At 39.9% G+C, this 13,458-nt stretch overlaps 1 protein-coding gene across 4 annotated transcripts in view; it reads right to left on the reverse strand.

The window, feature by feature from the left end:
- Window positions 1–13,458, reverse strand: part of FKBP5 (FKBP prolyl isomerase 5) — a 154,994-nt gene that overhangs the window by 35,707 nt on the left and 105,829 nt on the right. For all 4 annotated transcript variants that reach the window (NM_001145775.3, NM_004117.4, NM_001145776.2 and 1 more), the window contains 2 exons: window positions 10,836–10,978; window positions 9,800–9,914 (listed from right to left, as the gene is read on the reverse strand). In NM_001145775.3, the coding sequence (NP_001139247.1) occupies window positions 9,800–9,914; window positions 10,836–10,978 (258 nt within the window). The remainder of the gene's footprint in view (window positions 1–9,799; window positions 9,915–10,835; window positions 10,979–13,458) is intronic.

A 13,458-nucleotide genomic window follows, 5' to 3' on the forward strand; every position in this document is an offset into this window, starting at 1 on the left:
AGTTAATTTTGTTCTCATACATAAATGACAGTTGGGCTGAGTACGGAATTCTAGGTTCAAAATACACATAGCTATAGACAATGATCAAAAGCATTGTCTTTAGTGTAATGAATAAGATTCTTATTCCTTTGTACATAGCTTGTTCTTCCCTGGAAGAGTTCAGAATTTTCTTGTAAGCTGCAGAATTCAGAAATTTCACCAGGATATATCTGGGTGAAAAACCACTCCTTCCTCCTGGGTACCACTATCAACTGGCCCTTTCGATCTTAAGAATCTTTTTCTTTTATTCCCTGTAGGAAATTTTCTATTAGATGTTTGATTGGATGCATATTACCTCTCCTGGATTTATTATCCATATCTTCTAATTTCTTTTTCACTTTTCATCCCTCTTTTTTCTTGTGTTCTGAGAAATCCTTGGCTATCTTTCAGATCACCTGATTTCAGGGACTGTCCATTTTGCTCTTCAACCCTTCCTCTGAGTTTCAGTTTTGATTAATCATGCTCTAACTTCCAGAAACTTTCTTGTCCTCCCTTTCCTTTTTCAGGGAAGTTGGCTTTTTGACTTATGAATCTGATGTCCTGTTAACAATTTCTGAAGACAATAATTAGTATTTTTAAGGTTCTCTTCTACTTCTTCTGTTAGTCCATTTTAGTGCTGCTTTTTTCGTGATATTTGCTGATGATTCTTTGCTGTCTGGCCGTATTATAAAGGAAGGATTCTGGATGATCAAATGACTATAGTTAGCTGGCACCATTTTTCTAAGCAGTTGGATATGTTTCCATGGCAGGCCTTTCTGCAAAAGGATGGGCTGATTGCGGGGATCTAAGGGTGAAGATTTCACAAATATTTATTAAGCATTTACTATGAGCTGGGCATGATGGGCACAGGAAAGTTGACTTTAGGAGCAGAACACTTTAGTATTATTTACTGTGAAAAGCTGTCTTTACACTTTTTTCCCCTTTAAATTTGTTTTAAAAGTTCAAAAAAGGCCGGGCGTGGTGGTTCACACCTATAATCTCAGCACTTTGGGAGGCTGAGGCAGGTGGATCACGAGGTCAGGAGATCGAGACCATCCTGGCTAACACGGTGAAACCCCGTCTCTACTAAAAATACAAAAAAAATCAGCTGGGCGTGGTGGCAGGTGCCTGTAGTCCCAGCTACTCAGGAGGCTGAGGCAGGAGAATGGCGTGAACCCGAGAGGCGGAGCTTGCAGTGAGCCAAGACCGCGCCACTGCACTATAGCCTGAGTGACAGAGCAAGACTCCGTCTCAAAAAAAAAAAAAAAAAAAAAAAAGTTTCAAAAAATACATTCATTTTCCCTAGTCGAAGTCCTAACACTTGGAGTCTTTTGAGGCACATTTTGTTTTATTATTTATTTTTAAATTTATTTTATTATTTTTCTATTTTATTTTAGAACCTGGCCTTACTGGTTTTAGCTTGGGAGAAAAAGTCACAGTCAGACCGTAGTCTAGTAGTTTTCAGTCCTTGCCTGCAAACTAGAATAATCTGGGAGTTTAAAAAAAAATACTTGTGCCTGGAGTTCCATCTTCTGAGATGTGAGATTCTTATTTAACTGGTCTGGGTGTCAGAATTTTTAAAAGCTCCCTAGGTAATTCTAAATTCAGGAAAAGTTGAGAACTACTGCACTGGAGGTTTACTGGCCCCGCTGTTCCATCTTGTTTTATAACAACCCTGATGATTGCTGCATAGCCTGCTTGGGCTCCCTCACACCAGATGACCATGAGCTTGGAGTTCCGCCTAAGCCTGTTGAGAAGAACAGTGTGTACCTCTGCTTAAGTCCTCTTTACACCTGTCTCGGGTTGGATTTGCTGAGACTAGTTTCCATTGGTTCAACTTCATCAACTTTACATATTCCAGAAATTCTCCATAATTTCTGATCCACTCTTACATTCCTCTCCTTTCCAGCACTATTATTGATCTCTTCTTCTTCTTTTGAAAATCTTTGTTCCCTCCATCTATCATTTCAGTGAGATTTGGAGAGGGAAAGGAGGTACGCCAACAACTGGAACCTGTAGAACACTCTGTTGAAAATTTCACATTTAAAAATACTGCTGACTGTCTGCATTCTTTGCATTCAAATGTGGCTGAAAGTACTGAGAGGCGAGAGAACCACATACAGCCAGCATTTTGATGGGCCTCTTCCAACCACTAAAGTTGACAAATCAGACGATGTGAGAGACTGGGGGATGGGGGAAGAGTAACTGGTAGCTATTTAGAACCTTATGTAAGTCAGATTTGATTTTCTAAGAAAGCAAAGCTGAAAAGTAGCAATGTAGCCAAGACCTGCAATTAAACTTAAAGACTGAAGTATCAGTCATCATAATCATATCAATTAGAGTACCTTAGAACACAGTAACTTTTTAAATGAAAGAAAAACTTTGAATAAAAATTACAAGATGGTCATCTTAACTGACACAAGAAAAAGCGTAGGGGGACAGATTCTAAAAACTGATTTGTAACCATTAGGATCCTCATATAAAGAGTAAAAATCAAAATTTCCTTGAGAAAGAATAAATCCCATCAAACTAACCTAAGTTTTCTCTTCCACACAGAGACAAATTATGAAAAGGAAGTAAAAGTTTACAATTCAGTAAAAACCTTTTTGAGTCCATAATGTTATTCTTTCCCCGGAACCTTGAGAAATGTGATTTAGATAAGATTACTATTAAGATATATCATTAATTTGAAGACTGTTATTAGAGACAATTTTAGGTCTCTAATAACCATGGTAGGTAGAGCCAAGAGGATTTGCTGATGGATGACATGTAGGAGATAAGAAAAAGAGGAGTCAGCCAGGCACAGTGGCTCACGCCTGTAATCCCAGCACTTAGGGAGGCCAAGGTAGGTGGATCACCTGAGGTCAGGAGTTCAAGACCAGTCTGGCTAACATGACGAAACCCCGTCTTTGCTAAAAATACAAAAATTAGCTGGGTGTGGTGGCACGTGCCTGTAGTCCTAGCTACTTGGGAGGATGAGGTGGGAGAATCACCTGAACCCGGAAGGCAGCAGTTGCAGTGAGCTAAGATGCGCCATTGCACTCCAGCCTGGCCCACTGCACTCCAGCTTGGGCAACAGAAAAAGAAAAAGAGGAGTCAAGGATCTTTTTCCTTAGATCAATTAAAAGGAAGCAAAACAAATTAGTGAAACACAATATATAGGGTAGAAGAAATTAAGTGTCCACTAAATGTCTGACACTCTTCTTTGTAACTGTTTGTATTAGTCCATTCTCACGCTGCCATGAAGAACTGCCTGAGACTGGGTAATTTATAAAGAAAAGAGGTTTAATTGACTTACAGTTTCACATGGCTGGGGAAGCCTCAGGAAACTTACAATCATGGCAGAAGGGGAAGCAAACACACCCTTCTTCACATGGCGGCAGAAGAGGGAAGAGCCAGCAGGGTTTCCCTGCCAGACCCTTATAAAACCATCAGATCTCGTGACAACTCACTCTATCATGAGAACAGCATGGGAGAAAATGCCCCCCCGATTCAGTTACCTCCCAGTGGGTCCTTCCCACGACACGTGGGGATTGTGGGAACTACAATTCAAGACGAGATTTGGGTAGGCACACAGCCAAACCGTTATCACTGTCACACAACCTGTGGGAGTGAAAACTATTCCCATTTGACAGATTAAAAAAACTGAATGCTCCACGTAGTTAAGTAACTTGTCTAAAGTCATAAAAGTATCAGGTAGCAATTCCAAGATTCAAAAATCAAGTCCATCACTTACAAAGTCTATCTGTCCCCTCCTCCATACCACTTCATTGTCTCTTTACACAGAAATGACAGAAATTTAGTAAATCACGTATCTATAACAACATATTGTAATGGGTGATCAGTGTCTATTGTTCTTGTTCACTCTATAGCCGGCTTTAGTTCCAGGTTTTATTTATTTTATTTATTTATTTTTTTGAGACGGAGTTTCCCTCTGTCACCCAGGCTGGAGTGTAGTGGCGTAATCTCTGCTCACTGCAACCTCCACCTCCCAGGATCAAGCAATTCTCCTGCCTCACCCTCCCAAGTAGCTGGGATTACAGGTGCCCACAACCACTCCCAGCTAATTGTTTGTATTTTTAGTAGAGATGGGGTTTTGCCATGTTGGCCAGACTGGTCTCAAATTCCTGACCTCACGTGATCTGCCCACCTCGGCCTCCCAAAGTGCTGGGATTACAGGCGTGAGCCACCGCACCTGGCCTAGTTCCAGGTTTTATATCTGGTTTCACATCTAAGTGTATTTGGTGATGCTATAAAGAAAAGGCAAACCAGTAAAGACTGAGAAGATTTCAAAAAGAACAAGGTGATCTTGGTTTTGAACAGGACCACCTTTAGGGTAATCTTTTTTCTCCTCCCCCAGATAGCTAACTTGTTTAAAGGAGGAAAAACCAGGACATTTTAACCTTGATAAATGAAAGTATAACACAATAAATTTCTATGAAATAGATTTGTTCCAGAAAACCAAGACGGTCTTTTGAGTGAAAAAGTAAAATCAACCATTTAATCTAAAATTTCCCAGGAAAGTACATTCTAACAAGATGAAAGACAAAAGATTAGTCATTGCCCTTTCTTTTGTTCTTTCTCTCTTTTTTTCAAACTGAGACAGAGCCTTGTTCTGTTGCCCAGGCTGGAGTACAGTGGCATGATCACAACTCTCTGCAGCCTTGAACTCCTGGGCTCAAGAGATCCTCCTACCTCAGTCTTCTGGGTAGCTGGGACTAGAGGCATGTGCCATCACATGTGGCTAAATGTTAAACTTTTTGCAGAGACAAGGTCTCTATGTTGCTCAGGATGGTCTCAAATTCCTGAGGTCAAGCCATCCTCCTGCCTCAGCCTCCCAAAGTGCTGGGATTACAGGTGTGAGCCACCACGACTGGCTCCCTTTGTTAACAGAAACAGAAAAAAATAAAATGACATAAAACGTAATAAAATACAGGAAGAAAAACCAGGATCTAATGATATAACTAATGAGACTGGAATAGGGTGGAAATAATGGGGAAGTGGGAACAGGTTAATAAGGATGAGGGGGAAATGACACTTTTGAGTATATCGTTTTTTATATAGTTTAAAATCATGGTAATGTTTCACATATCCAAAATAAAACGAATAATTAAAATTAACCAGAGCATGGCAGGAACCCAAAATGGAATATACAGGGTAACAAATGAATAATTTGTTACAATTGAGTAACATAATCACATTGAAGGGGGTGAGGAAGAAAGAAGTTACCTCAGTTGGAAAGCAAGTGTTTTGAATATACACTATAAGACTGATGACAAAAGGTACTATAAACAAATATTTCCTAAAGTCAGTTTGTCACAGGGGTCTAGGTTAGCAATTCTAAAACCATCTTACATATACACTAGGATGGGAGCAATGAGTATGCTGTGGAGAATGAGAGCATTTTCTCACTTCTGGAGAATGGAGTTTCAAATGAGCAAAGGGCAAATAAACTTGTGGTGTTGGATTGGAACTGGAACTGCAACTGCCAGTGAGTATCCCTGGTTTTTAACATATACATACAGGCTGGCCGGGCACGGTGGCTCATTCCTGTAATTCCAGCACTTTGGGAGGCCAAGGCAGGCAGATCACGAGGTCAGGAGTTCGAGACCAGCCTGGCCAACATGGTGAAATCCCATCTCTACTGAAAATACAAAAAATAGCTGGGCGTGGTGGCAGGCACCTGTAAATCCCAGCTACTCCGGAGACTGAGACAGGAGAACCACTTGAACCTGGGAGGCGGAAGTTGCAGCGAGCTGAGATTGCACCACTGTACTCCAGCCTGGGCGACAGAGTGAGACTCTGTCGCAAACAACAACAACAACAACAACAACAACAACTACACACACACACACACACACACACACACACAGAGGCTGATGTAGAAATACATATAGATGTATACGTATGTATGTTGAGGTCCATATATTCTCTATCTCTCTGTCTGCTAAGTGGGTCTAGGAATGATGATATCCCATAGCAGGAGCAAACCTAGCACTCAGATCTTGGTTTCTAAATGCCTTTCTCCAATAAAAGGAATCAGGGCTCTTTGGAGAAATGGTTGGTTCCAGGTCTAGGGCAGGAAAATTTTAAGATGAGCCATGAGTGTCTTGTGGTACCAGAAAATAAGGAAGCACTTAAAAAAAATGGGGATAATATTGAAAGGACACAAAAACAAACTTAAAGGAGTTTCCAATGGTCAAATCTGGGACAATGTGAACAACAAAATAAATAAGAATAGTAATGAATAATAACTTATGGAATAAATATACACAGATCCATAATGATATAAATAAACTGAATAAATATACAGTAGGATTCAAATTAATGTAGAGAGAATAACAGCAATAGAAAATTTACCATTAGTCAAATGCCACAGTAATAACTGTTGCAAGCAAAAATCAACAAATGTCAAAATGAGTGTGTAAAGTTGTGATACAAAACAAGATAGTACTTCACTCCTAATACTTTTTAATTACAAAGGGAAAATAGTAACGTTGCAGTAGTGAAACATGGTTTCCCACCTTAACCCAGTGTTCGAAGGTAACATCACCAGTAATGAGACATCAATATCATATACCTCTTGATAATGATGAAAGGCACATCACTTCAGTGGTATTTTCAAAAAATGCATAACCTCAATCTAAAAACATCCCAGAAACCCAAATTGAGGGATATTCTACAAAACGGTCAGTTGTATTCAAAATAGTAGAGTAGGCTGGGTGCGGTGGCTCATGCCTGTAATCCCAGCATTTTGGGAGGCTGAGGCGGGTGTATCACCCAAGGTCAGGAGCTTGAGGACCAGCCTGACCAACATGTTAGAAACCCTGTCTCTAATAAAAATACAAAAATTAGTCGGGCATGGTGGCGTGCGCCTATAGTCCCAGCTACTTGGGAGGCTGAGACAGGAGAATTGCTTGAACCCAGGAGGTGGAGGTTGCAGTGAGCTGCGATAGCATCACTACACTCTAGCCTGGATGACAGAGCAAGACTCCATCTCAAAAAAAAAAAAAAAAAAAAAAAAAGTAAATACAATGCTGGATCCTGAGTTTGATCTTAGACCAGAAAACGACAGTAGTGTAGTAACTGGTGAAATTCAAATAAGATCTGGAAAACAGTTACTGGTACTACATCAATGTTAACTTCCTGATTTTGATAAATGTACTGTGATTAGGTAAGATGTTAACATTTAGAGGAAGCTGTGTAAAGCATATAAGGGAACGCGCTATACTAGTTTTGCAACTTTTCTGTAATTCTAAAATTATTTCAAAACAAAAAGTTAAAAAAAAATTGACTCCCATCGCAAGTATTACCAAAAGCAAGATCTGATTTAATTTAGTCTGCTCTAAAGTCATCTCCACAGCGGTAATTTTGTGATATTGTCTATAATTGGGAAAAGTTTTTCCTCTTAGTTGACAAAACCCTCCAGTTTAAAAATATATATTATAAATTACTGAATCTAGGGTGTGCCTGTATCCATAGGAGTAAACCTCTACCTTTGTACATACATTTGAAATTTTTCATAAGAAAAATTTAAAATACACATTATAGACAAGCTTAAGTGCTTACTAATATAGTGAAGATGATTTTCTATCATTCCTACAACTTTTGTAAATATTTAGAATTCTATGATGGAGTTTTAGGGCTAGTAGGACCTTAAAAATCAAGAGGTTCAAGCTTGCCTCACTGCATAGGAAGGAAGCTAACGCCCAGAGGTGAAGTCTAGTTGAAGCCAGCCTGAGGCCAGGGCTGAGGCTGGAACCCTATCTCCCAACTCCTAGTCTGGAGCTATTTCCCTGGTATTCTACATTTAAAGCTCTTCATGTATTCAAAAACTTATCCCAAATGGCAATTTGGGATAAATAATATTTGTAACTGCTTCCCAAAACAACAGAATTTAAACTGATTTGCCAGACTCGTAGAAATGAAATATGGGTTGAAAATAGTATATACTTTAAAAGAAAGAAACTCAGCTATTCTTGTTTTCTGTTTAAATGAACTCTTTACTTTTTTTTTTTAAGGAGACAAGGTCTCACTATGGTACCTAGGCTAGAGTGCACTGGCTATTCACTGGTGTAACCATAGCACGCTATAGCCTCGAACTCCTGGCCTCTAGTGATCCTCCTATCTCAGCCTCCCAAGTAGCTGGGACTACAGGTGCACACCATTACACCTGGCTTTTGAAATAATTATTTTAAACAGACCTTTTATAATAATAGTTCATGTTCCCATCCTTGTTGAATGATTTGATTTTTGTTCTTAATGGAAGTATTTCTCTGTTTTCTCACAACTCTCTTTTGAAGGATTTCAGCTCACTAATGACACTTCTCAAGCACTTATCCATGCAGAAAGCCTTTACTGAACACCAAATGTGTGTCACGCACTGCAGGAAATGCTGAACACAAAAGGATGAAGAAAGATTCTGGTCCTCAAGCACTCAAAGTATACTGGGAGAAATGGGCAAATACTGATTACAATGTAAAGTGACAAGTAGTATACACAGTGGTACATATAATTTGCTCCGGGAGGGAAGAAGAGTTAGCTATCTCAGTCCTCAGAGCTGCCCCTACTCCCACTTAGCAAATGAAGAAACGGAATAGCTTCAGGTTACTCAATAAACACCAAAGCAGGACTTGAACCTAGGTCTCCTGATATGGAATAGAATGAACATTATTATCCAATATTGATCTAAATGATGAACTATTTTTTAATCTTGATGACAGCTGATGAGATGTATTTGAGTCCTAAAAGGGATTATAATCTACTGCTCTGTTTAGTAACTCTGTAACCCTGGGCAATTTATTTAACATCTCTGAATTAACTTTTCTCATCTGGGGACAAGAAATTTTACCTCTTAAGGTTGTGAGAAATAAATGAACAAACATATCAGGCAACTAATATAGTTGTTGGCACACCAGAGAGTCCACAGATTGAGAATTTCTTGTGGATGGAATTACTTTGTATTCATTTTTGAGTTTGTAGAGGCTGGTAGCATGCCTGACACGTAGATGTTGAATTAATATTTACTAAATAAAATTATTAAATAAATGTTGAACCTGAAACTATTTTTTTTTTGGACAGAATCTTGCTGTTGTCCAGGCTGAAGCACAATGGCACAATCACGGCTCTCTGCTGTAGCATTCATCTCCAGAGCTCAAGTGATTCTTCCACCTCAGCCTCCCAAGTAGCTGGGACTACAGGGACGTGACACCACACTTGACTAATTCTCTTGATGCTTTTTAGTAGAGATGGGGCCTCACTATGCTGTCCTGGCTGGTCTCGAATTCCTAAGCTCAAGAGATCCTCCTGCCTCGGCCTCCCAAAGTGCTGGAATTACAGGCATGAGCCACTGTGCCCAGCTAAGACTATCTTTGAGATATATTCAATACTTTTTTTTTGAGACAGAGTCTTGCTTTGTCATCCAGGCTGGAGTGCAGTAGCACCATCTCGACTCACTGCAACCCCTGCCTCCCGGGTTCAAGTGATTCTCATGCCTCAGCCTCCCGAGTAGCTGGGAATACAGGCGTGCACCACCACACCTGGCTAGTTTTTTGTATTTTTAGTAGAGATGGGGTTTCGCCATGCTGGCCAGGCTGGTCTCAAACTCCTGAGCTCAGGCAATCCACCCGCCTCGACCTCCCAAAGTGCTGGGATTACAGGCGTGAGTCACTGCGCACAGCCGATATATTCATTTCTACAAACATTTTTTTTTAAGTCTCCATTTCGTCCACATAAATGGCCCAACTTTTAAGGACTAGTTCCCTCTTACTTTAATACTTACTTTCTACTGTTGCTCCTTCGTTTGGATTTGAATATCCCTCTCCTTTCCGTTTGGTTCTCCGGATAATGCCTCCATCTTCAAATAAATCCTCTCCTTTGAAATCAAGGAGCTCAATCTAGAAAGAAAAAAGGAATTCAGCTGAGAAAAGACCAAATAAAGCCAACTGAACATATGTGAAGGCAAGGGCAACCAATTATTTCATTTTACAAAATAAAGCTGTTTTAAAATATATACATTCATTTATGCATCTTAATTATTGGAAAAGTAGCAAAAAAAAAAAAACCCACTATACTTTTCCATACTTGGAAAGAATTTCATGTAATGCTAATGTCTAGAACTATATCCTAAGGGACTGCAGTGCAAAGATAGGAAATACTAGGAAAACTACCCTGTGGGCAAAAAGCCAGAGCTACAAGGTGCTGGTGTAGAACTATTTTGTTTGAGGCCACAACTTTCCCATCCTGGGTTTATGGAGTTCCCTTCTCAAAATGTAAGAATAAATCTCATGGATGTGACCTACGACTGATTAAAGGTGTATTTTACCTAGCTGGGGTGGTTCTTAAAAATCAAGTTTTGCCAAATATATGTAATTCAACATAGGATGAATAATGTTTTATCACCACCAACGGCTTCTAGAGAAGTGAGATCTGTGACACATAAATTTTTATAATATGTAAATACCCCGCAACGTGACATAGGCATATTTCAACATTTATCGCCAACATTTCCATCCTGTACTCTGGTCAATTTTGAGTATGTCACACTCACACCATGGACCAGAATCTTTATTTCTAAGTGTAGCGTCTTTTGTTTATTTGGATATGACCTTTTTGTGCTAGAAACACGTTTCTAAGAAAGCACTGGCACGCGCACCCTTGGGTTTGTGGGAAACAATTCAAGAAGCCATGCTCCAAAATAAGTAAGTTGGATCTGATTCTCTATAGCAAGCTTAGCTCCTTTTCCCACTGCCTGTTGCTTCAAAGCCATTCCTATTGTAGAGCAGATGCTGACAAGGCAACATCACACACATACTTGCCTCAAAAAAGAGAGTTGCATTCGAGGGAATTTTAGGGAGACTGCCAGCCGAGCCATATGCATATTCTGGTTTGCACAGTAAATGGCATATCTCTCCTTTCTTCATGGTAGCCACCCCAATGTCCCATGCCTTGATGACTTGGCCTAAGGGAAAGGAAAAGGTAGTTGAAAGCTATAAGCCCTATTTAAAAAGATTTAACTTTCATAAAACCAAAGTTCTAATTTCCAGTTTTTCATACTACATACTCAGCTAGAAAGTATGGGCTACAAGATGACAGAGTGCTACATACAAATAAATAAATTATTTTTTTTGAAGGCTATCACAAAAGATTCCCTGTTGATCGGCCCAGCACTTTGGGAGGCTGAGGTGGGAGGACTGCTTGAGTCCAGGAATTTGACACCAGCCTGGGCAACACAGCAAGACCTCATCTCTAAAAAAAAAAAAAAAACACCCCAAAGAACCAAAGAACACAGCTGGGTATGGTGCACACCTGTAGTCCCAGCTACTCCGGAGGCTGTGGTGGGAGGACAGCTTAAGCCTGGGAGCCCAGGAGATTGAGGCTTCAGTGAGTCATGATTATGCCACTGCACTCTAGCCTGGGTGACAGAGTGAGACCCTGTCTCAAAAAGGATTCCCTGCTGAAAGGGATGAAAGTAATATAAATTCCTAAACTACTCAAAAATTAAGTCTTTGAAAACTGGTGGTAACATTATCCATGAAATATGGCTATGTTGCAATTGTTGCCTAATTTATCATTTCAACTATAATAAGCGCAAATTTTCTAGGCAGAGATAGAACAAAAATAGTATTGAAAAATAGAGTGTGTCCTAAGGAAGCTTATAATTTAGTTGGGTAGACAAAAAAAACAACAAAACAAGAAGTAACCAGAACAGGATAAATTGCATAAAAGGGTCCATGAAACACATTTCTTCTCAAAATTTAGAATCAGAAAAATGTTCCTTTAAACAAAAACATATGTGTCTTTTTGTCAAACCACAACTACAGAACTTAAAATATTTTATTTTTTGCCTACTTCCAGGAAACTAAGTTAAATTTACTGCTCAATTGTAGAACTATATTAGGCTATATAATTGTAATCTCAATGTTTATAGTTCCTATGATGTGCATCATTATCTTACTGTAAGCAGTATCAAGTCCTTTCGGAAACAATAGAAAATTTAGGCCATTTAAAAGGCTAAATTACATTTTGGTGGGGCATGGTGGCTCACGCCTGTAATCCCAGAACTTTGGGAGGCCAAGACAGGCGGATCACTTGAGGCCAGGAATTCAAGCCTGGCCAACATGGTGAAACCCCGTCTCTACTAAAAATACAAAAATTAGCCAGGCATGGTAGTGCGTGCCTGTAATCCCAGCTACTTAGGAGGCTGAGGCAGGAGAATTGCTTGAACCTGGGAGGCGGAGGTTGCAGTGAGTAGAGATCATGCCACTGCACTCCAGCCTGGGCGACACAGCAAGACTCTGTCTCCAAAAAAAAAAAAAAAAAGGCTAAATGACAAATGAGGTACTCTGTCAATCAGAAATATTAAGTATCTGGGGGCTGGGCACGTTGGCTCGCGCCTGTAATCCCAGCTGTAATCCCAGCACTTTGGGAGGCCAAGGCGGGCAGATCCCTTGAGCTTAGGAGTTTGAGACCAGCCCAGGCAACATGGTGAAACCCCATCTCCACAAAAAAATATATTTAAAAAATGAGCCAGGCGTGGTGGTGCTTGCCAGCTACTCAGCAGGCTGAGGAGAGAGGACTACTTGAGTCCAGGAGGTCAAGGCTGCAGTGAGCTGAGATCATGCCACTGCACTCCAGCCTGGGCAGCAGAGTGGAGACCCTGTCCTGTCTCAAAAAACAAAAACAAAAATGTAAGTATTCAAAAGTAGGATCAGATAAGAGATGAACCCCAGAGGAAGTGAATTTGAAGTGAGCTGGTGGTAGGATATTAGGACAAGGGAAACCCTACATAACAGTATGTAAGCAGGGATAGATAAACCATTTTTTATTCATGACTTTAGCTTAATCTTCATTAAATATTACAACTTTTCAAAATGTCAGCTACATTTATTTCAGTTAAAAATATATGTAAGTGGCCAGGAATAGTGGCTCATACCTCTCATCTCAGCATTTTGGAAGGCCAAAGCAGGAGCATCCACTTGAGCCCAAGAGTTTTAAGACCGGCCAGGGCAACATAGTGAAACTCCATCTCTACAAAAATTTAAAAAATTAGTGCGGCATGGTGGCATATGCTTGTAGCTCCAGCTACTTTGGAGGTTAAGACAGGAGAAGAGCTTGAGCCTAGGAGTAAGAGGCTACAGTGAGCAATGATTATGTCACTGCACTCCAGACTAGGTGACAGAGCGAGACCCTGTCTCTTAAAAAAAAAAAAAAATCAAGTAATACATGCCTATTATTAAAACACCCATGAAAGAGATGGAAAGTGAAAGCTGAAAGGCCATCCATCTGCTCCTTATAAGTAACTGTTACGTTTCTTTGGTATCCTACTGTGTGCTGTCACTTTTTAAAAAAATTTAAAATACAAATGACAGCAAACTAGACATTCAGTTCTAAACTACTTTTTCATTTATTATATATCTTCATCCTCTTTCTCCATCAGTA

Source organism: Homo sapiens, chromosome 6, assembly GCF_000001405.40.
Source record: "Homo sapiens chromosome 6, GRCh38.p14 Primary Assembly".
NCBI lineage: Eukaryota > Metazoa > Chordata > Mammalia > Primates > Hominidae > Homo > Homo sapiens.